The sequence below is a fragment of the Homo sapiens genome, chromosome 19 (assembly GCF_000001405.40).
Source record: "Homo sapiens chromosome 19, GRCh38.p14 Primary Assembly".
Classification (NCBI taxonomy): Eukaryota; Metazoa; Chordata; class Mammalia; order Primates; family Hominidae; genus Homo; species Homo sapiens.
Genome location: NC_000019.10, coordinates 27,347,269 through 27,368,498, shown reverse-complemented (window position 1 = coordinate 27,368,498; position 21,230 = coordinate 27,347,269). Strand labels below are relative to the sequence as shown.

Sequence of the window (21,230 nt, the reverse complement as noted above, 5' to 3'; positions counted from 1 at the left end):
TTGGAGTGGTTTGAGGCCTAAGGTGAACAAGGAAATATCTTCACATAAAAACTAGACAGAAGGATTCTGGGAAACTTCTTTTTGGTGTGTGCATTCATCTGACAGAGTTGAACCTTTTGTTTTCATGGAGCAATTGGGAAACAGTCTTTTTGTATTATCTGCAGTGGGATGTTTGTGAACGGTTTAAGGCCTGTGGTGAAAAAGGAAATATCTTCATATAAAAACTAGACAGAAGCATTCTGAGAAACTGCTCTGTGATGTGTGCATTCATCTCACAGAACTGAAACTTTCTTTTGATAGAGCCAGTTGGAAATGCTCTTTTTTTAGAAGCTGCAAATGGATACTTGGAGCCCTTTGAGGCCTATGGTGAAAAAGGAATTATCATCACATAAAGAGTAGACAGAAGCATTCTGAGAAACTTCTTTGTGATGGGTGTATTCATCTCACAGAGTTGAACTTTTATTTGATTGAGCAGTTTGGAAACAGTCTTTTTGTAGATTCTGCAAATGGATATTTTGAGCAATTTAAGGACTATGGTGAAAAACTAAATATCTTCAGATAAGAACTGGAAAGAAGCATTTTGAGAAACTTCTTTTGATGCCTGCATTCATCTCACAGAGTTGAACTTTTCTTTTCATGGAGCACTTTGGAAACAGCCTTTTTATAGTATCTGCAAGGGGATATTTGTGACTGGTTTAGGGCTTGTGGTGAAAAAGGAAATATCTTCACATAAAAACTAGACAGAAGCATTCTGAGAAACTTCTTTGTGCTGTGTGCATTCATCTCACTGAGTTGAAACTTTCTTTTCATTGAGCAGTTTGGAAACAGTCTTTTCGTAGAATCTGCACAGGGATATTTGTGAGCCCCTTATGGCCTATGGTGAAGTAGGAAATATCCTCACATAAAAACTAGATAGAAGTTTTCTGATAAAATTCTTTGTGATATATGCTTTCATCTCAAACAGTTGAACGTTTCTTTTGATTGAGCACTTTGGAAACTGTCTTTTTGTAGATCTGCAAATGGATATTTGGAACGCTTTGAGTCCTATGGTGAAAAAGGAAATATCTTCACAGAAAAACTACACAGAAGCATTCAGAGAAACTTCTTTGTGATGAGTGCATTCGTTTCACAGTGTTGAACCTTTCTTTTGATGTAACAGTTTGGAAACAGTCGTTTAGTAGTATCTGCAGAGTGATATTAGTGACCGGTTTAAGGCCAATGGTGAAAATGGAAATATCTTCACATAAAAACTGGACAGAAGCATTCTGAGAAATATCTTTTTGATGTGTGCATTCAGCTCACAGAGTTGAACCTTTCTTTTGATTGAGCAGGTTGTTAACACTCTTTTTGTAGCATCTGCAAATGGATATTTGCAACACTTTGAGGTCTCTGGTGAAAAATGGAATATCTTCACATAAAAACAACACAGAATCACCTGAGAAACTTCTTTGTGATGTGTGCATTCATCTCACAGAGTTGAACGTGTCTTCTGATGGAGCAGTTTGGAAACCGTGTATACGTAGAATTTGAACAGGGATATTTGTGAGCCCTTTTTGGCCTATGGTGAAATAGGTAATATCTTCATGTAGAAACTAGACAGAAGCATTCTGAGAAACTTCTTTGTGATGCCTACATTCATCTCAGAGTTGAAACTTTCTTCTGACTGAGCAGTTTTGAGGCAGTCTTTTCGTACAATCTGCAAAGGGATATTTCTGAGCCTTTTGAGGACAATGTTTAAAAAGAAGTATCTTCACATAAAAACTAGACAGAAGCATTCTGAGAAACTTCTTTGTGATGTGTTCATTCATGTTACAGGATTGAACCTTTCTTTTCATGGAGCACTTTGGAAATAGTCTTTTTGTGGTATCTGCAGATGGATATTTGTGACCGGTTTAAGGCCTACGGTGATAAAGGAAATATCTTCACATAAATACTAGACAGAACCATTCTGAAAAACATCTTTGTGATGTGTGCATTCATCTCACTGAGATGAACCTTTGTTTTGATTGAGCACGTTGAAAACACTCTTTTTGTAGAGTCTGCAAATGGATATTTGGAGTGCTTTGAGGCCTATGGTGAAAAAAGAAGTATATTCATATAAAAACTAGACAGAAGCATTCTGAGAAACTTCTTCATGATGTGTGCATTCGTCTCACAGAGTTGAAATTTTCTTTTGATGGAGGACTTTGGAAACAGTCTTTTTGTAGTATCTACAGAGAGATATTTGTGATTGGTTTAAGGCCCTTGGTGAAAAAGGAAGTATCTTTACATAAAAACGAGACAGAAACATTCTGAGAAACTTCTTGGTGATGTGTGCATTCATCTCACAGAGTTGAACCATTCTTTTGATTGAGCAGGTTAGAAACACTGTTTTTATAGAATCTGCAAATTGACATTTGGAGAGGATTGTGGCCTATGGTGAAAAAGGAAATATCTTCATATAAATACTATACAATAGCATTCAGAGAAACTTCTTTGTGATGTGTGTATTCATCTCACAGTGCTGAACCTTTCTTTAGATGAAGCACTTTGGAAACAGTCTTTCTGTAGAATATGCACTGGGATACTTTTGAGCCCTTTACGGCCTGTGGTGAAATAGTAAATCACTTCACGTAAATACTAGACAGAACCTTTCTGAGAAACTTCTTTGTGATACCTGCATTCATCACACAGAGTTGAAACTTTCTTTTGATTGAGCAATTTGGAAACAGTCTTTTTGTACAATCTGCAAAGGGATATTTCTGAACCGTTTGAGGCCTATTGTGAAAAAGAGATATCTTCACATAAAAAGTAGACAGAAGCATTCTGAGAAACTTCTTTGTGATGTAGGCTTTCATCTCACAGAGTTGAAGCTTTCTTTTCATGGAGCACTTTGGAAACACTCTTTTTGTAGTATCTGCTGAGGGATATTTGTGACGTGTTTAAGGTCTATGGTGAAAAAGGAAATATCTTCACATAAAAACTATACAGAAGCGTTTAGAGAAACTTCTTTGTGATGTGTGCATTCATCTCACAAAGTTGAATTTTCTTTTGATTGAACTTGTTGGAAACACTCTTTTTGTAGAATCTTCAAATGGATATTTGAATCGCTTTGAGGCATACATTTACATAGGAAATATCTTGTGATAAAAACTAGACAGAAGCATTCTGGGAAACTTTGTGATGTGTGCATTCATCTTACAGAGTTGAAGCTTCCTTTTGATTGAGCAGTTTGAAAGCAGTATTTTTTTAGAATCTGCAAATGGATATTTGGAGGGCTTTGATGTCTATGGTGAAAAGGAAATATCTTCATATAAAAAATAGACAGAAGCACTCTGAGAAACTTCTTTGTGATACCTGCATGCATTTCACAGAGTTGAACCTTTCTTTTCATTGAGCAATTTGGAAACAGTCTTTTTGTACAATCTGCAAATGGATATTTTTGAGCCGTTTGTGCCCTATGGTGAAAAAGGAATATCTAAATATCAGAACTAGACAGAAGCAATCTGAGAAGCTTGTTTGTGATGAGTGCATTCATCTCACAGAGTTAAGCCTTTGCTTTGATTGAGCAGTTAGGAAACAGTCTTTTTGTAGAATCTGTAAAAGGATATTTGGAGCGCTTTGAGGCCAATGATGAAAAAGGAAATATCTTCACATAAAAAGTGGACAGAAGCATTCTGAGAAACTTTTTTGTGACATGTGCCTTCATCTCGCAGAGTTGAATCTTTCTTTTGATTGAGCAGGTTGGAAAAACTCTTTTTGTAGAATCTTCAAATGGATATTTGGAGTGCTTTGAGGCCTATGGTGATAAAGGAAATATCTTTACATAAAAACTAGGCAGAATAACTCTGAGAAACTTCTTTGTGATGTGTGCATTCGTCTCACAGAGTTGAATCTCTCCTTTGTTTGAGCAGTTTGGAAACAGTCTTTTCATAGAATCTGAACAGGGATACTTGTGAGCCCATTGTGGCCTATGGTGAAATAGAAAATATCTTCACATCAAAACTAGACAGTAGCTTTCTGAGGAACTTCTTTGTGATGTATGCTTTCATCTCACAGAGTTGAACCTTCTTTTTGATTGAGCTGTTTAGAAACAGTCTTTTTGTATAATCTGCAAGTGGATATTTGGAGGGTTTTGAGGCCTATGGTGAAAAAGAATATATCTTCACTTAAAAATTAGACAGAAGCATTCTGATAAACTTCACTGTGATGTGTGCATTCATCTCAGAGGTTTGAATATTTCTTTTGATGGAGCAGTTTGGAAACGTCTTTTTGAAGTATCTGCTGGGGGATATTTGTGACCGATTTAAGGCCTATGGTGAAAAAGAAAATATCTACACATAAAAGCTAGAGAGAATCATTCTAAGAAACTTCTTAGAGATGTGTGTATTCATCTCACAGACTTGAAACTGTCTTTTCATTAAGCAGTTTGGAAACAGCCTTTTTGTAGAATCTGCAAATGGATATTTGAAGCACTTTGAGGCCTATAGTGAAAAAGGAAATATCTCCACATAAAAATTAGACTGAAGCATTCTGAGAAACTTCTTTTTGATACCTGCATTAATTTCACAGAGTTGAAACTTTCTTTTGATTAAGCAGTTTGGAAACAGTCTTTTTGTACAATCTGCAAATGGATATTTCTGAGCTGTTTGAGGCCTATGGTGAATAAAGAATGTCTTCACATAAAAACTAGACAGAAGGAGTCTGAGAAACTTCTTTGTGATGTGTGCATTCATCTCACAGAGTTGAACCTTTCTTTTGATTGAGCATTTGGAAGCAGTGTTTTCAAAGAATCTGCACAGGGATATTTTTGAGCTCTTTATGGCCTATGGTGAAATAGGAAATATCTTCACATAAAAAGAAGACAGAAGATTTCTGAGAAATTTCTTTGTGATGTATGCTTTCATCTCACAGAGTTGAAACTTTCTTTTGATTGAGCAGTTGGAAACAGTCTTTTTGTAGAATCTGCAAATGGATATTTGGAGCGCTTTGAGGACTATGGTGAAAAAGGAAATATCTTCGCATAAAAACTAGACTGAGTCTGTCTGAGAAACTTCTTGGTGATGTGTGCATTCATCTCACAAAGTTGAAACTTTCTTTTGATGGAGAAGTTCCAAAAGAGTCTTTTTGAAGTATCTGCAGAGGGATATTTGTGTCCGGTTTAAGGCCTATGATGAAAAAGCGAATATCTCCACATAAATACTAGACAGAAGCATTCTTTGAAACTTCTTTATAATGTGTTGGTTCATCTCAGACATTTGAATCCTTCTTTTGATTGAGAAGTTTGGAAACAGTCTTTTTGTAGAATCTGCAAATGGATATTTATAGCACTTTGAGGCCTATGGTAAAAAAGGAAATATCTTCACATAGAAACTAGACAGAAGCATCCTGAGAAACTTCTTTGTGATGCCTGCATTCATCTCAAAGTGTTGAACCTTTCTATTGATGGAGCAGTTTCGAAACAGTCTTCTTGTACAATCTGCAAAGTGATATTTCTGAGCTGTTGAGGCCTATGATTAAAAATAAATATCCTCACATAAAAAACTAGACAGAAGCTTTCTGAGAAAATTCTTTGTGATATGTCCATTCATCTCACAGTGTTGAAACTTTCTTCTGATTGAGCAGTTTGGAAAAATTCTTTTTGTAGAATCTGCAAAGGGATATTTGTAAGCCCTTTATGGTCTATGGTGAAATAGGAAATGTCTTCAACTTAAAAGCAGACAGATGTTTCTGAGAAAGTTCTTTGTGATGTTTGCATTCATCTCACAGAGTTGAACCTCTTTTTGATTGAGCAGTTTGGAAACAGTCTTTTTGTAGAATCTGCAAATGGATATTTTGAGCGTTTTAAGGCCTATTGTGAAAAAGGAAATATCTTCACATAAAAACTAAGCAGAAGCTTTCTGAGAAACTACTTTGCGATGTGTGCATTCATCTCACAGAGTTGAACATTTCTTTTGATGGAGCAGTTTGGAACCCGTCCTTTTGTATTATCTGCAGAGGGATATTTGTGCGCAGTTTAATGCCTATGGTGAAATAGGGAACATCTTCACATAAAAACTAAACGGAAACACTCTGAGTAAGTTCTTTGTGATGTGTGCCTTCATCTCACAGAGTTGATCCTCTCTTTTCATGGAGCATTTAGAAATCAGTCTTTTTGGGAAATGACTCCTCTCAATCATTCCCCGCTAGACTGAAATCTTCTCAAGTATGAGAAAAATTATTTTTATACCTTGTTTTCCTCAGGACCCAGTGTATTATCTGACACACAGAAAGTATTAAGATATATATATTGATTATAAAGGAATAAAGTAGTATTTCCAAATCAAAAAAAAAAAAGAATTCAGTTTTTTGTAGAATCTACAAATGCATATTTGGAGCACTTTGAGGCCTATGGTGAAAAAGGAAATTTCTTCACATAAAAACTAGACAGAAGTATTCTAAAAAACTTCTTTGTAATGTGTCCATTCATCTCCCAGATTTGAAACTTTCTTTTGATTGAGCAATTTTGAAACAGTCTTTTCATAGAATCTGCAAAGGGATATTTTTGAGCCCTGTATGGCCTACTGTGGAATAGGAAATATCTTCAAATAAAAACTAGACAGAAGCTTTCTGAGAAACTTCTTTATGATGTATGCTTTCGTCTCTCAGAGTTGAACCTTTCTTTTGATTGAGCAGTTTGGAAAAAGCATTTTTGTGGAATCTACAAATGGATACTTGGAGCCCTTTGAGGTATACGGTGAAAAAGGAAATATCTTCACATAAAACCAGATGGAAGCATTCTGAGAAACTTCTTTGTGATGCCTGCATTCATCTCAAAGAGTTGAGCCCTTCTTTTGATGGAGCAGATTCGAAACAGTCTTCTTGTAGAATCTGCAAAGGGATATTTCTGAGCTGTTTTAGGCCTATGGTGAAAAAGAAACATCCTCACATAAAAACTAGACAGAAGCATTCTGAGAAACTTCTTTTGGATGTGTCCATTCATCTCACAGAGTTGAAACTTTCTTTTGATTGAGCATTTTGTAAACAGTCTTTTCGTAGGATCTGTAAAGGGATATTTGTGAGCCCTTTATGGCCTATGATGAAATAGGAAATATCTTCACATAAAAGCAGACAGAAGCTTTCTGAGAACCTTCTTTTTGATGTTTGCATTCATCTCACAGAGTTGAACCTTTCTTTTGATTGAGCAGTTTGGAAACCGTCTATTTGTAGAATCTGCAAGTGGATATTTGGAGCACTTTGAGGCCTATGTTGAAAAGGAAATATCTACACATAAAAACTAGACAAAGGCATTTTGAGAAACTCCTTTGTGATGTGTGCATGCATCTCACAGAGCTGAACGTTTCTTTTGATGGTGCACGTTGGAAGGAGTCTTTTTGTAGTAACTGCAGAGCGATATTTGTGAGCAGTTAGGGCCTATGGTGAAAAATGAAGTATCTTCACATAAAAACTAGACAGAAGCATTCTTAGAAACTTCTTTGCTCTGTGTGCATTCATCTCACAGAGACGAACCTTTCCTTTGATGGAGCAGTTTGGAAAGAGTCTTTTTGAAGTTTCTGCAGAGGGATATTTGTGAGCAGTTTAAGTACTATGGTGAAAAAGGAAATATCTTCACATAAAAACTAGACAGAAGTTCACTGAGAAACTTCTTTGTGATGTATGATTTCATCTCACAGAGATGAACGTTTGTTTTTATTGAGCAGTTTGGAAACAGTCTTTTTGTAGAATTTGCAAATGGGCATTTGGAATGCTATGAGGCCTATGGTGAAAAAGAAAATATCTTCACATAACAACTAGAGAGAAGAATTCTGAGAAACTTCTTTGTGATGCCTGCATTCGTCTCAGAGGGTTGAACCTTTCTTTGATTGAACAGTTTGGAAACACTGTTTTTGTAGAATCTGCAAAGGGATATTTGTGAGAACTTTATGGCCTATGGTGAAATAGGAAATATCTTCACATAAAAACTAGACAGAATATTTCTGAGAAACTTCTTTGTTCTGTATGCTTCATCTCTCACAGTTCAACCTTTCTTTTGATGGAGCAGTTTGGAAAAACTCTTTTGTAGACTCTACAAATGGATATTTGTAGTGCTTCAAGGCCTATAGTGAAAAAGGAAATATCTCCACATAAAAACTAAACAGAAGCTTTCTGAGAAACTTCTTTGTGATGTGTGCATTCCTCTCACAGATTTGAACGTTCCTTTTGATTGAACAGTTTGGAATCAGTCTTTTTGTACAATCTGCAAATGGATAATTCCAAGCTGTTTGAGGCCTACGGTGAAAAAGAAGTATCTTCACATAAAAATTATACAGAAGCATTATGAGAAACTTATTTGTGTTGTGTCCATTCATCTCAAAGTGTTGAACCTTTCTTTTGATTCATCAGTTTGGAAACAGTCTTTTTGTACAATCTGCAAAGGGATATTTTTCAGCCCTTTATGTCCTATGATGAAAAAGGAAATATATCAACATAAAAAGTAGACAGAAGCATTTTGACAAACTTTTTTGTGATGTGTGATTGCATCTCACAGAGTTGAACCTCTCTTTTGTTTGAACTGTTTGGAAACAGTCCTTTTGTAAAATCTGCAAAGGGATATTTTTATGCCCATTGAAGCCTATGGTGAAACAGGAAATATCTTCAATAAAAACCAGACAGAAGCTTTCTGACAAACTACTTTGTGATGTGTGCTTTCATTTCATGGCATTGAACCATTCTTTGGATTGAGCAGTTTGGAAAAAGCATTTTTGTAGAATATGCAACTGGATATTTGGAGCGCTTTGAGGCTGAAGGTGAAAAAGGAAACATCTTCACATTAAAACTAGACAGAAGAATTCTGACAAAATCTTTTGTGATGTTTGCAATCATCTCACAGAGTTGAACCTTTCCTTTGATGGAGAAGTTTGGAAAGAGTCTCTTTGTAGTATGTGCAGAGGGATATTTGTGAGCAGTTTAAGGCCTATGGTGAAAAGGGAAATATCTTCACATAAAAACTAGACAGAAGCTTACTGAGAAACTTCTATCTGATGTATGTTTCCATCTCATAGACTTGAACCTTTCTGATGATTGTGCAGTTTAGAAATAGTCTTTTTGTAGAATCTGCAAATGGGTATTTGGAGCGTTTTGAGACCTATGGTGAAAAAGGAAATATCTTCACATAGTAACTAGACAGAAGCATTCTGAGAAACTTCTTTGTGATGTGTGCATTCATTTCTCAGAGTTGAACTTTTCTTTTGATGGAGCAGCTTGGAAACAGTCTTCTTGTAGTATCTGCATAGGGATAATTGTGACCGGTTTAAGGCCTATGATGAAAAAGGAAATATCTTCACATAAAAACTAGACAGAAGCATTCTGAGAAACTCCTTTGTGATTTGTGCATTCATCTCCCAGTGTTCAACCTTTCTTTTGATTGAGTAGTTTCGACAAAATCTTTTTGTAGAATCTACAAATCTATACTTGGAGCACTTTGAGGACTATGGTGAAAAAGGAAATACCTTCACATAAAAACTAGACAGAAGCATTCTGAGAATTTTTTTGTGATATTTGCATTCATCTCACAGAGTTGAGCCTTTCTTTTGATTGAGCAGTTTGGAGAGAGTCCTTTCGTAGAATTTGCAGAGGGATATTTGTGAGCCCTTTATGGCCTACGATGAAATAGGAAATATGTTCACTCCAAAACTAGACAGAAACTTTCTGAGAAACTTTGTGATGTATGCTTTCTTCCCACGGAGTTGAACGTTACTTTTCATTGAGCAGTTTGGAAGCAGTGTTTTTGTAGGATCTCCAAATGGACATTTGGAGAGCTTTGAGGCCTATGGTCCAAAAGGAAGTATCTTCACATAAAAACTAGACTGAAGCATTCTGAGAAACTTCTTTGTGATGTGTGCATTTACCTCACAGAGTTGAACATTTCGTTTTTTGGAGCAGTTTGGCAACACCGCTTTTTTTTCTTGAACAGTTTGGAAACAGTCCATTAGAAGAATCTGCAGAGGGATATTTGTGAGCCCATTGTGGCCTATGCTAAATAGGAAATATCTTTACATAAAACCTAGACAGAAGCTTTCTGAGAAACTAATTTGTGATGTGTGCTTTCATCCCACAGAGTTGAACCTTTCTTTGATTGAGCAGTTTAGAAACAGTCTTTTTGTAGAATCTACAAATGAATATTTGGAGCACTTTCAGGCCTATGGAGAAAAAGGAAATATCTTGACATAAAATCTAGACAGAAGCATTCTGAGAAACTGCTTTTTGTTGTGTGCATTCCTCTCACAAAGTTGAAGCTTTCTTTTGATGGAGCAGTTTGGAAACAGTCTTTTCATATTATCTGCAGAGGGATATTTGTGAGCAGTTTAGGCCTATGGTGAAAAAGGAAATATCATCACATAAAAACTAGACAGAAGAATTCTAACAAACTCCTCTATGATGTGTGCATTCATCTCACAGAGTTGAACCTTTTTTTGATGGAGCAGTTTGGAAACATTCTTTTTGTATAATCTGCATATGGATATTTGGAGTGCTTGGAGGCCTGTGGTGAAAAAGGAAATATCTTCACAGAAAAAATAAGAGAAGTTTTCTGAGAAACTTCTTTGTGATGGGTGCATTCACCTCACAGATTTGAAACCTACTTTTGATTGAGCAGTTTGGAAACAGTCTTTTTGTACGATCTGCAAGGGATGTTTCCGAGACATTTGAGGTCTGTGGTGAAAAATAAGTATTTTCACATAAAAAGTGCACCGAGGCATTCTGAGAAACTTCTTTGTGTTGTGTCCATTCATTTCTGATAGTTGAATCTCTCTTTTGTTTGAGCAGTTTGGAAACAGTCTTTTGGTAGAATCTGCAAATGGATATTTGAAGCACTTTGAGGCCTATGGTGAAAAAGGAAATATCTTCACATAAAAACTAGGCAGAAGCATTCTGAGGAACTTCTTTGTGATGTTTGCATTCATCTCACAGAGTTGAAACTTTCTTTCATTTGATCAGTTTGGAAGCAGTCCTTTTCTACAATCTGTAAAGGGATATTTGTGAGCCCATTTGGGCCTATGGTGAAAAAGAAGTACCTTCATTTAAAAACTAGAGAGAAGCATTCTGAGAAACTTCATAGTGATGTGCCCTTTCATGTCACAGAGTTGAACCTTTCTTTTGAATGAGCATTTTGGAAACGGTCTTTTTGTAGTAGCTGCAGAGGGATATTTGTGAGCAATGTAATGCCTATGGTGAAAAAGAAAATATCTTCACATAAAAACTAGACAGAAGCATTCTGAGAATCTTTTTGTAATCGGTGTATTCATCTCACAGAATTGAAACTTTCTTTTGATGGAGCAGTTTGTAAAGAGTCCTTTTGTAGAATCTGAAAATGTATATTTTTGAGCCATTTCTGTCCTTTGGTGAAATAGGAAATATCTCCATTCAAAAACTAGACAGAAGCTTTCTGAGAAACTTCTTTGTCATATATGATTTCATCTACCAGAGTTGAAACTTTCTTTTGATTGAGCAGTTTGGAAACCGTCTTTTTGTGTGGTCTACAAATGGATATTTAGAGCACATTGAGGCCTATGGTGAAAAAGGAAATATCTTCACATAAAAATTAGACAGAAGCATTCTGATAAGCTTCTCTGTGATGTGTGCATTCATCTCACAGAGATGCACCTTTCCTTTGATTGAGTAGTTGGCAAACAGTCGTTTTGTAGTATCTGCAGAGGTATATTTGTGAGTGGTTTAAGGCCTATGATGAAAAAGGAAATATCTTCACATAAAAACTAGACAGAAGCATTCTAAGAAACTACTTTGTCATCTGTGTATTCATCTCACACAGATGAAACTTTCCTTTGAGTGGGCTGTTTTGAACGAGTCCTTTTGCAGAATCTGCAAAGGGATACTTTTGAGCCCTTTGTGGCCTATGGTGAAATAGGAAATATCTTCACACAAAAACTAGACAGAAGTTTCTGAGGAACTTCTTTGTTATGTGTGATTTCCTCTCCCAGAGTTGAACCTTAATTATGATAGAGCAGTTTGGAAACAGTTGTTTTGTAGAATCTGCAAATGGATATTTGCAGCACTTTGAGACCTATAGTGGAAAATGAAATATCATCAAAAAAAAAAAATTAGACAGAGGCATTTTGAGAAACTCCTTTGTGATGGGTGCATTCATCTCATGGAATTGAACCTTTTTTTTGATGGAGCAGTTTGGAAACACTCTTTTTGTAGAATCTGCAAATGGATATTTGCAGCACATTGAGGCAGATGGTGAAAAAGGAAATATATTCACATAAAAACTAAACAGAGGCTTTATGAGAAACTTCTTTGTGATGTGTGCATTCATCTCTCAGAGTTGAACCTTTTTTTTGATTGAACAGTTTGGAAACAGTCCTTTTGTAGAATCTGAAAAGGGATATTTGTGAGCACATGGAAGCATATCATGAAATAGGAAATATTATCACATAAAAACTAGACAGAAGTTTTCTGTGAAACTTTTTGTGATGTGTGCTTTCATCTCAAAGAGATCAATCTTTCTTTTGATTGAGCAGTTTGGAAAGAGTCTCTTTGTAGAATCTGCAAATGAATATTTGGAGCACTTTGAGGCCTGTGGTGAAGAAGGAAATATCTTCACATAAAAACTAGACAGAAGCATTCTGAGAAACTCCTTTGTGATGTGCACATTCGTCTCACACGTTGAACTTTTCTTTTGATTGAGCAGTTTGGAAACAGTCTTTTTGTACAATCTGCAAAAGGATATTTGTGAGCCGTTTATGGCCTATTGTGCAATATGAAATATCTCCACATAAAAACGACACAGAAGGTTTGTGGGAAACTTCTTTGAGATGTATGCTTTCATCTCACAGAGTTCAACCTTTCTTTTGATTGAGCAGCTTGCAAACAGTGTTTATGTAGTATCTGCAAATGGATATTTGGATCACTTTGAGGCCTATGGTGACACAGCAAATGTCCTCGCATAAAATCTAGACAGAAGCATTCTGAGAAACTTATTTGTGATGTGTGCAGTCATCTCACAGAGTTGCACCTTTCTTTTGATTGAACAGTTTGGAAAGTGTCCTCTTGCAGAATCTGGAATGGGATATCTGTGATCCATTGATGGCGTATGGTGAAATAGGAAATATCTTCACACAAAAACTAGACAGAAGCTTTCTGAGAAACATCTCTGTGATGTATGCTTTCATCTCACAGAGTTGAAAGTTTCTATTGATTGAGCAGTTTGGAAACACTCTTTTTGTACAATCTGTAAGGGAATATTTGTGAGCTGCTTGAGGCCTATGGTGGAAAAGTAATGTGTTCACATAAAAACTAGACAGAAGCATTCTGAGAAACTTGTTTGTGATGTATCCATTGATCTCACAGATTTGAACCTTTGTTTTCTTTGAGCAGTTTGGAAACTGTCTTTTTGTACATTCTGCAAAGAGATATTTTTGAGCCCTTTATGGCATATGGTGAAATAGGAAATATTTCACATAAAAATTAGACAGAAGCATTCTGAGAAACTTCTTTGTGTTGTGTCCATTCATTTCTGATAGTTGAACCTTTCTTTTGTTTGAGCAGTTTGGAAACAGTCTTTAGGTAGAATCTGAAAATGGATATTTGGAGAGCTTTGAGGTCTATGGTGAAAAAGGAAATACCTTCACATAGTAAGTACACAGAAGCAGTCTGAGAAACTTCTTTTTGATGTGTGCATTCATTTCACAGAGTTGAACATTAGTTTTGTTGGAACAGTTTGGAAACAGTGCTTTTGTAGTATCTGCAAAAGGGATATTTGTGAGCTGATTGAGGCCTATTGTGAAATAGGAAATATCTTCACATAAAAACTAGACAGAAGCTTTGTGAGAAACTTCTTTGTGATGGGTGCATTCATCTCACAGTATTGAAGCTTTCTTTTCATTGAGCAGTTTGGAAACTGTCTTTTCCTACAATCTGCAAGGGATATTTCAGAGCTGTTTGAGGCCTATGGTGAAAAAGTAATACCTTCACAGAAAAACTCGAGAGAAGCATTCTGAGGAACTTCTTTGTGATGTGTCCATTTATCTCACAGAGTTGAAACTTTCTTTTGTCTGAGCAGTTTGGAAACAGTCTTTTTGTAGAATCTGCAAAGTGATATATTTGAGCCTTTTATTGCCTATGGTGAAATAGGAAATATTTTCCCATAAAAACTAGACAGAAGCATTCTGAAAGACATCTTTGTGATGTGTGCATTCATCTCACAGGGTTGAACCCTTCTTTTTCTTGAGCAGTTGGAAATAGTCTTTTGGTAGAATCTGCAAATGGATATTTGGAGTGCTTTGAGGAATATGATGAAAAAGGAAATATCTTCACATAAAAACTAGACAGAATCATTCTGAAAAAGTTCTTTGTGATGTGTGCATTCATTTCACAGAATTGAACCTTTCTTTTGTTTGAACAGTTTCAAAACAGTCCTTTTGTAGAATCTGCAATGGGATATTTGTGAGCTCATTGAGGTGATTGTGAAATAGGAAATATCTTCACAAGAAAACTAAACAGAAGCTTTCTGAGAAAGTTCTTTGTAATGCATGCTTTCATCTCACAGAGTTGAAACATTCTTTTGATTGAGCAGTTTGGAAACACTCTTTCTGTAGAATCTGCAAATGGATATTTGGAGTGCTTTGAGGTCTATGGAAAAAAAGGAAATAACTTCATGTAAAAACTAAACAGAAGTTTTCTGAGAAATTTCTTTGTGATATGTGCATTCATTACACAGAGTTGAAACTTCCTTTGATTGAGCAGTGTGGAAACAGTCTTTGTGTAGAATCTGCGAGTGGATATTTGAAGCGCTTTGAGGCCTACTGTGAAAAAGGAAATATCTTCACATAAAAACTATACAGAAGCATTCTGAGAAACTTCTTTGTGATGTGTGAATTCACCTCACAGAGTCAAACCTTTCTTTTTATTGACAAGTTTGGAAACAGTGCTTTTGTAGAATCTGCAAAGGGATATTTGTGAGCCCATTGAGGCCTATGGTGAAATAGGAAATATGTTCACATAAAAACTAGACAGAAGCTTTCTGAGAAACTTCTTTGTGATGTGTGTTTTCATCTCACAGAGTTGAAACTTTCTTTTGATTGAGAAATTTGGAAACTGTCTTTTTGTAGAATCTTCAAATGAATATTTGTAATGCTTTGAGGACTATCGTGAAAAAGGGAATATCTTCACATAAAAACTAGACATAAGCATTCTGAGAAATTCCTTTGTGAAGTGTGCATTCATCTCAGAGTTCAACTTTCTTTTGAAGGATAATTTTAGAAACAGTCTTTTTGTAGAGTATACAGAGGGATATTTGTGAATGCTTTAGTGTCTATGGTGAAAAAGGAAATATCTTCACATAAAAACTAGACAGAAGCATTCTGAGAAAATTCTTTGTGATGTGTGCATTCATGTCACAGAGTTGAAGCTCTATTTTGATTGAGCAGTTTGGAAAAAGTGTTCTCGTAGAACCTGCAAAGTGATATTTGTGAGCCCTTTATGACCTATGGTGAAATAGGAAATATCTTCACATAAAAACTAGACAGAAGTTTTCTAAGAAACTTCTTTGTGATGTATGCTTTCATCTCACAGAGTTGAACGTTTCTTTTTTTGAAAAGTTTGGAAACTGTCTTTTTGTAGCATCTGCAAATGGATATTTGGGGCACTTTGAGGGCAAAGTTGAAAAAGGAAATATCTTCACATCAAAACTAGGCAGAAGCATTCTGAGAAACTTCTTTGTGATGTGTGCATTCATCTTACAGAGTTGAACCTTGTTTTGATGGAACAGTTTGGAAACAGTCTTTTTGTAGTATCTGCAGAGGGATATTTTTGAGCTGTCTAAGGTCTACGGTGAAAAAGGAAATATCTTCACATAAAAGCTAGACAGAATCATTCTGAGAAACTTCTTTGTTATGTGTGCATTTGTCTCAAAGAGTTGAACCTTTCTTTTGATTGAACAACTTGGAAATTCTCTTTTTGTAGAATTTGCAAATAGATATTTGGAGTGCTTTGAGGCCTGTGGTGAAAAAGAAACTATTATCACAAAAAATCTAAACAGAAGCTTTCTGAGAATCTTCCTTGTGATGTGTGCATTCATCTCCCAGAGTTGAACCTTTCTTTTTATTGAGCAGTGTGGAAACAGCCTTTTTGTAGAATCTACAAATTGATATTTGGAGCGATTTGTTGTCTACGGTGAAAAAGGAAATATCTTCACATAAAAATTAGACAGAAGCATTCTGAGAAACTTCTTTGTGATGTGTGCATTCATCTCACAGAGTTGAACCTTTCTTTTGGTGGAGCAATTTGGAAACAGTCCTTTTGTAGTATCTGAAGAGGAATATTTTTGGGTGGTTTAAGGCCTGTGTTGATAAATGAAATATCATCACATAAACACTAGACGGAATTATTCTGAGAAACACCTTTGTAATGGTTTCACTCATGTGACAGAGTTGAACCTTTCTTTTCATACAGCAGGTTGGAAGCATTCTTTTTGTAGTATCTGTAAAGGGATATTTGTGACTGATTTAAGACCTATGGATAAAAATGAAATATCTTTACACAAAAACTAGACAGAAACATTCTGAGAAAATTCATTGTGATGTGTGCATTTATCTCACAGAGTTGAACCTTTCTTTTGATTGAGCAGTTTGGAAACTTTCTTTTTGTAGAATACAGAAATGGATATTTGGAGTGCTTTGAGGTATATGGTGAAAAAGGAAATATCTTCAGGTAAAAAATAAACAGAAGCTTTGTGAGAAACTTCTTTGTGATGTGTGCATTCATCTCCCAGAGTTGAACCTTTCTTTTGATTGTGCAGTTTGGAAACTGTCTTTTTGTACAATCTGCAAAGGGATAATTCTGAGTCGTTTGAGGCCTGTGTTGAAAAAGAAGTATCTTCACATAAAATCTAGAGAGAAGCATTCTGAGAAACTTCTTTGTGCTGTGTGCTTTCATCTCACAAAGTTCAACCTCTCTTTTGCTTGAGCAGTTTGGAAACAGTATTTTCGTAGAATCTGCAAATGGATATTTGGAGTGCTTTCAGGACAATTGTGAAAATGGAAATATCTTCACATAAAAACTAGACAGAAGCATTCTGAGAAACTTCTTTGTTTTGTGTGCATTCATCTCACAGTTGAACCTTTCTTTTGTTTGAGCAGTTTGGAAACACTCTTTTTGTAGAATCTTCAAATGGGTATTTGCAGCGCTTTGAGGCCTATGATGAAAAAGGAAATATCTTCACTAAAAGCAAAATGGAAGCTTTTTGAGAAACTTCTTTGTGACATTTGCATTCTTCTCCCAGAGTTGAATCTTTCTTTTGATAGAGCAGTTTGGAAACAGTGTTTTTGTACAATTTGCAAAGGGATATTTCTGAGCCTTTTGAGACCTATTGTGAAAAACAAGTATCTTCATATAAAAACTAGAGAGAAACCTTCTGAGAAATTTCTTTGTAATGTGTCCATTCATCTCACAGTGTTGAACCTTTCTTTTGATTGAGCAGTTTGGTAACAGTGTTTTCGTAGAACCAGAAAAGGGATATTTGTGAGCCCTTTATGTCCTGTGGTGAAACAGGAAATACCTTAACATAAAAACTAAAAGGAAGCTTTCTGAGAAACTTCTTTGTGATGTGTGCATTCATCTCCCGTAGTTGAAACTTTCTTTTGATTGAGCAGTTTGGAAACAGTCTTTTTGTAGAATCTGCAAATTGATATTTGGTGTGTTTTGTGGCCTATGGTGAAAAAGACAATATCTTCACATAAAAACTAGACAGAAGCATTCTGATAAACTACTTTGTGATGTGTGCATTCATCTCACAGAGTTGAACCTTTCTTTTGATAGAGCAGTTTGGAAACACCATTTTTGTAGAATCTGCAAATGGATATTTGGAGCGCTTTCCAGCCTATGGTCAAAAAGGTAATATCTTCACATAAACCTAAACAGAATATTTCCCAGAAACTTCTTTGTGATGTGTGCATTCAACTCCCAGAGTTGAACTTTTCTTTTGATTGAGCAGTTTGGAAACAGTCTTTTTGTAGAATCTGCAAATCAATATTTGGAATGCTTTGATGCCTATGGTGAAAAGGGAAATATCTTCACATAAAAACTAGGCAAAAGCATTCTGAGAAACTTCTTTGTGCTGTGTGCATACATCTAACAGAGTTCAACCTTTCTTTTGATGGAGCAGTTTGGAAACAGTCTTTTTGTAGTATCTGCATAGGGATATGTGTGAGTATTTTGAGGCTTATGTTGAAAAAGGAAATATCTTCACATAAAAACTAGACAGAAGCATTCTGAGAAACTTCATTGTGATGTCTGCATTCATCTCACAGGGTTGAAAGTTTCTTTTTATTGAACAGTTTGGAAACAGTCCTTTTGTAGAATCTGCAAAGGGATATTTGTGAGCCCTTTTTGGCCTATGTTGAAATAGGAAATATGTTCACATAAAAAGTAGACAGAAGCTTTCTGAGAAACTTCCTGTGATGCATGCTTTCATCTCACAGAGTTGAGTGTTTCCTTTAATTGAGCAGTTTTGAAACAGACTTTTTGAATAATCTCCAAATGGATATTTGGAGCATTTTGAGGCTATGATAAAAAAGAAATATCTTCACAAAGAAACTAGACAGAAGTATTCTGGGAAACTTCTTTGTGTTGTGTGCATTCATCTCACAGAATTGAAACTTTCTATTGATGTAGCAGTTTGGAAACAGTCTTTTTGTAGTATCTGCAGAGGAATGTTTCTGAGTGGTTCAAGGCCTATGGTGAAAAAGGAAATATCTTCACATAAAAACTAGACAGCAGTATTTTGAGAAACCTCTTTGTGATATGTGCTTTCATCTCACAAAGTTGAAACTTTCTTTTGGTTGAGCATTGTGGAAACAGTCCTTTTTAGTATCTGCAAAGGGATATTTGTGAAACCATTGAGTCCTATTGTGAAATAGGTAATATTTTCACATAAAAAGTAGTCAGAAACTTTCTGAGAAACTTCTTTGTGATGTGTGCTTTCATCTTACAGAGTTAAAACTTTATTTTGATTGAGGAGTTTGGAAACACTCTTTTTGTAGAGTCTGCTAATGGATATTTGGAGCCCTTTGAGGAATATGGTGAAAATGAAATATCTTCATATAAAAACTAAACAGAATCATTCTGAGAAACTTCTTTTTGATGTGGTCATTCATCTCACAGGGATGAAACTTTCTTTTGATTAAGCAGTTTGGAAGCAGTTTTTTTTTTTTTTTTATAATCTGCAAAGGGATATTTCTGAGCCATTTGAGGCTGATGGTTGAAAAGAAATATCTTCACATAAAAACTAGACAGAAACTCTCTGGGAATCTTCTTTGTGATGTGTCCATTTGTCTCACAGAGTTGAACCTTTCTTCTGATTGAGCAGTTTAGAAACAGTCCTTTTGTGGAATGTGGAAAGTTATATTTCAGAGCCATTTATGGCCTATGGTGAGATAGGAAATATCTTCACATAAAAACTAGACAGAAGCTCTTTGAGAAACCCCTTTGTGATGTTTGCATTCATCTCACAGAGTTGACCCTTTCTTTTCAGTGAGCAGTTTGGAAACAGTATTTTTGTACAATCTGCAAATGGATATTTCTGAGCGGATTGAGACCTATGGTAAAAAAGGAAATATTTTCACATAAAAACCAGACAGAAGCAATCTGAGAAACTTTTTTTTATGTGTGTGTTCTTCTCACAGTGTTGAACGTTTCTTTTCATTGAGCAGTTTGTAAACAGTCTTTTGTGTAACCTGCAAAGGAATATTTCTGAGTAGATTGAGGCCTATGGTGAAAAAGAAATATCTTCACATAAAAACTAGACAGAAGCGTTCTGAGAAACTTCTTTTTCATGTGTGCATTCTTCTCACAGGGTTGAACCTTTCTTTTCATTGAGCAGTTTGGAAACAGTCTTTTTGTGTAATCTGCAAAGGGATATTTGTGAGTGGTTTGATGCCTATGGTTAAAAAGGAAATATCTTCACATAAAAACTAGACAGAAGTTTTTTGAGAAACCTCTTTGTGATATTTGCATTCATCTCACAGAGTTGAATCTTTCTTTTCAGTGAGCAGTTTGGAAAAAGTATTTTTGTACAATCTGCAAATGGATATTTCTGAGCTATTTGAGGCCTATGGTGAAAAAAAAATATCTTCACATAAAAACTAGATAGAAGCATCCTGAGAAACTTCTTTTTCATGTGTGCATTCATCTCACAGAGTTGAACCTTTCTTTTCATTGAGCAGTTTGGAAAAAGACTTTTTGTAGAATCTGCAAAGGGATATTTCTGAACCATTTGAGTCCTATGGTGAAAAAGAAGTATCTTCACATAAAAACTAGGTAGAAGCATTCTGAGTAACTTCTTTTTTATGTGTGATACCCAGGCAAATCCGCTGCTGATACCCAGGCAAACAGGGTCTGCAGTGGACCTCTAGTAAATTCCAACAGACCTGCAGCCGAGGGTCCTGTTTGTTAGAAGGAAAACTAACAAACAACAAGGACATGCACACCAAAATCCCATATGTACATCACCATCATGAGAGACCAAAGGTAGACAAAACCACAAAGATGTGAAAAAAGTGAGCAGAAAAACTGGAAACTCTAAAAATCAGAGTGTCTCTTGTCCTCCAAAGGAACGCAGATCCTCACCAGCAATGGAACAAAGCTGGATGGAGAATGATTTTGACGAGTTGAGAGAAGAAGGCTTCAGATGATCAAACTACTCCGAGCTACATGAGGAAATTCGAACCAATGACAAAGAAGTTAAAAGCTTTGTAAAAAAATTAGACGAATGGATAACTAGAATAAACAATGCAGAGAAATCCTTAAAGGACCTGATGGAGCTGAAAACCAAGGCATGGGAGCTACATGACAAATGCAGAAGCCTCAGTAGCCATTGTGATCAAGTGGAAGAAAGGGTATCTGTGATGGAAGATGAAATGAATGAAATGAAGCAAGAAAAGAAGTTTAGAGAAAAAAGAAAAAAAAGAAATGAACAAAGCCTCCAGGAGATATGGGACTATGTGAAAAGACCAAATCTACGTCTGATTGGTGTATCTGAAAGTGACAGGGAGAATGGAACCAAGTTGGAAAACACTCTGCAGGCTATTTTCCAGGAGAACTTCCCCAATCTAGCAAGGCGGGCCAACATTCAAATTCAGGAAATACAGAGAATGCCCCAAAGAGACTCCTCAAGAAGAGCAACTCCAAGACACATAATTGTCAGATTCACTAAAGTTGAAATGAAGGAAAAAATGTTAAGGGCAGCCAGAGAGAAA

At 35.8% G+C, this 21,230-nt stretch overlaps 1 annotated feature.

The window, feature by feature from the left end:
• Nucleotides 14,098–14,599: an enhancer, noted in NCBI's record as "NANOG hESC enhancer chr19:27844808-27845309 (GRCh37/hg19 assembly coordinates)". NCBI's record gives its function as "activates a minimal SCP1, AML or CMV promoter by ChIP-STARR-seq in naive H9 embryonic stem cells {active_cell/tissue: H9 hESC(naive)}" and the evidence as "EXISTENCE:reporter gene assay evidence [ECO:0000049][PMID:30033119]".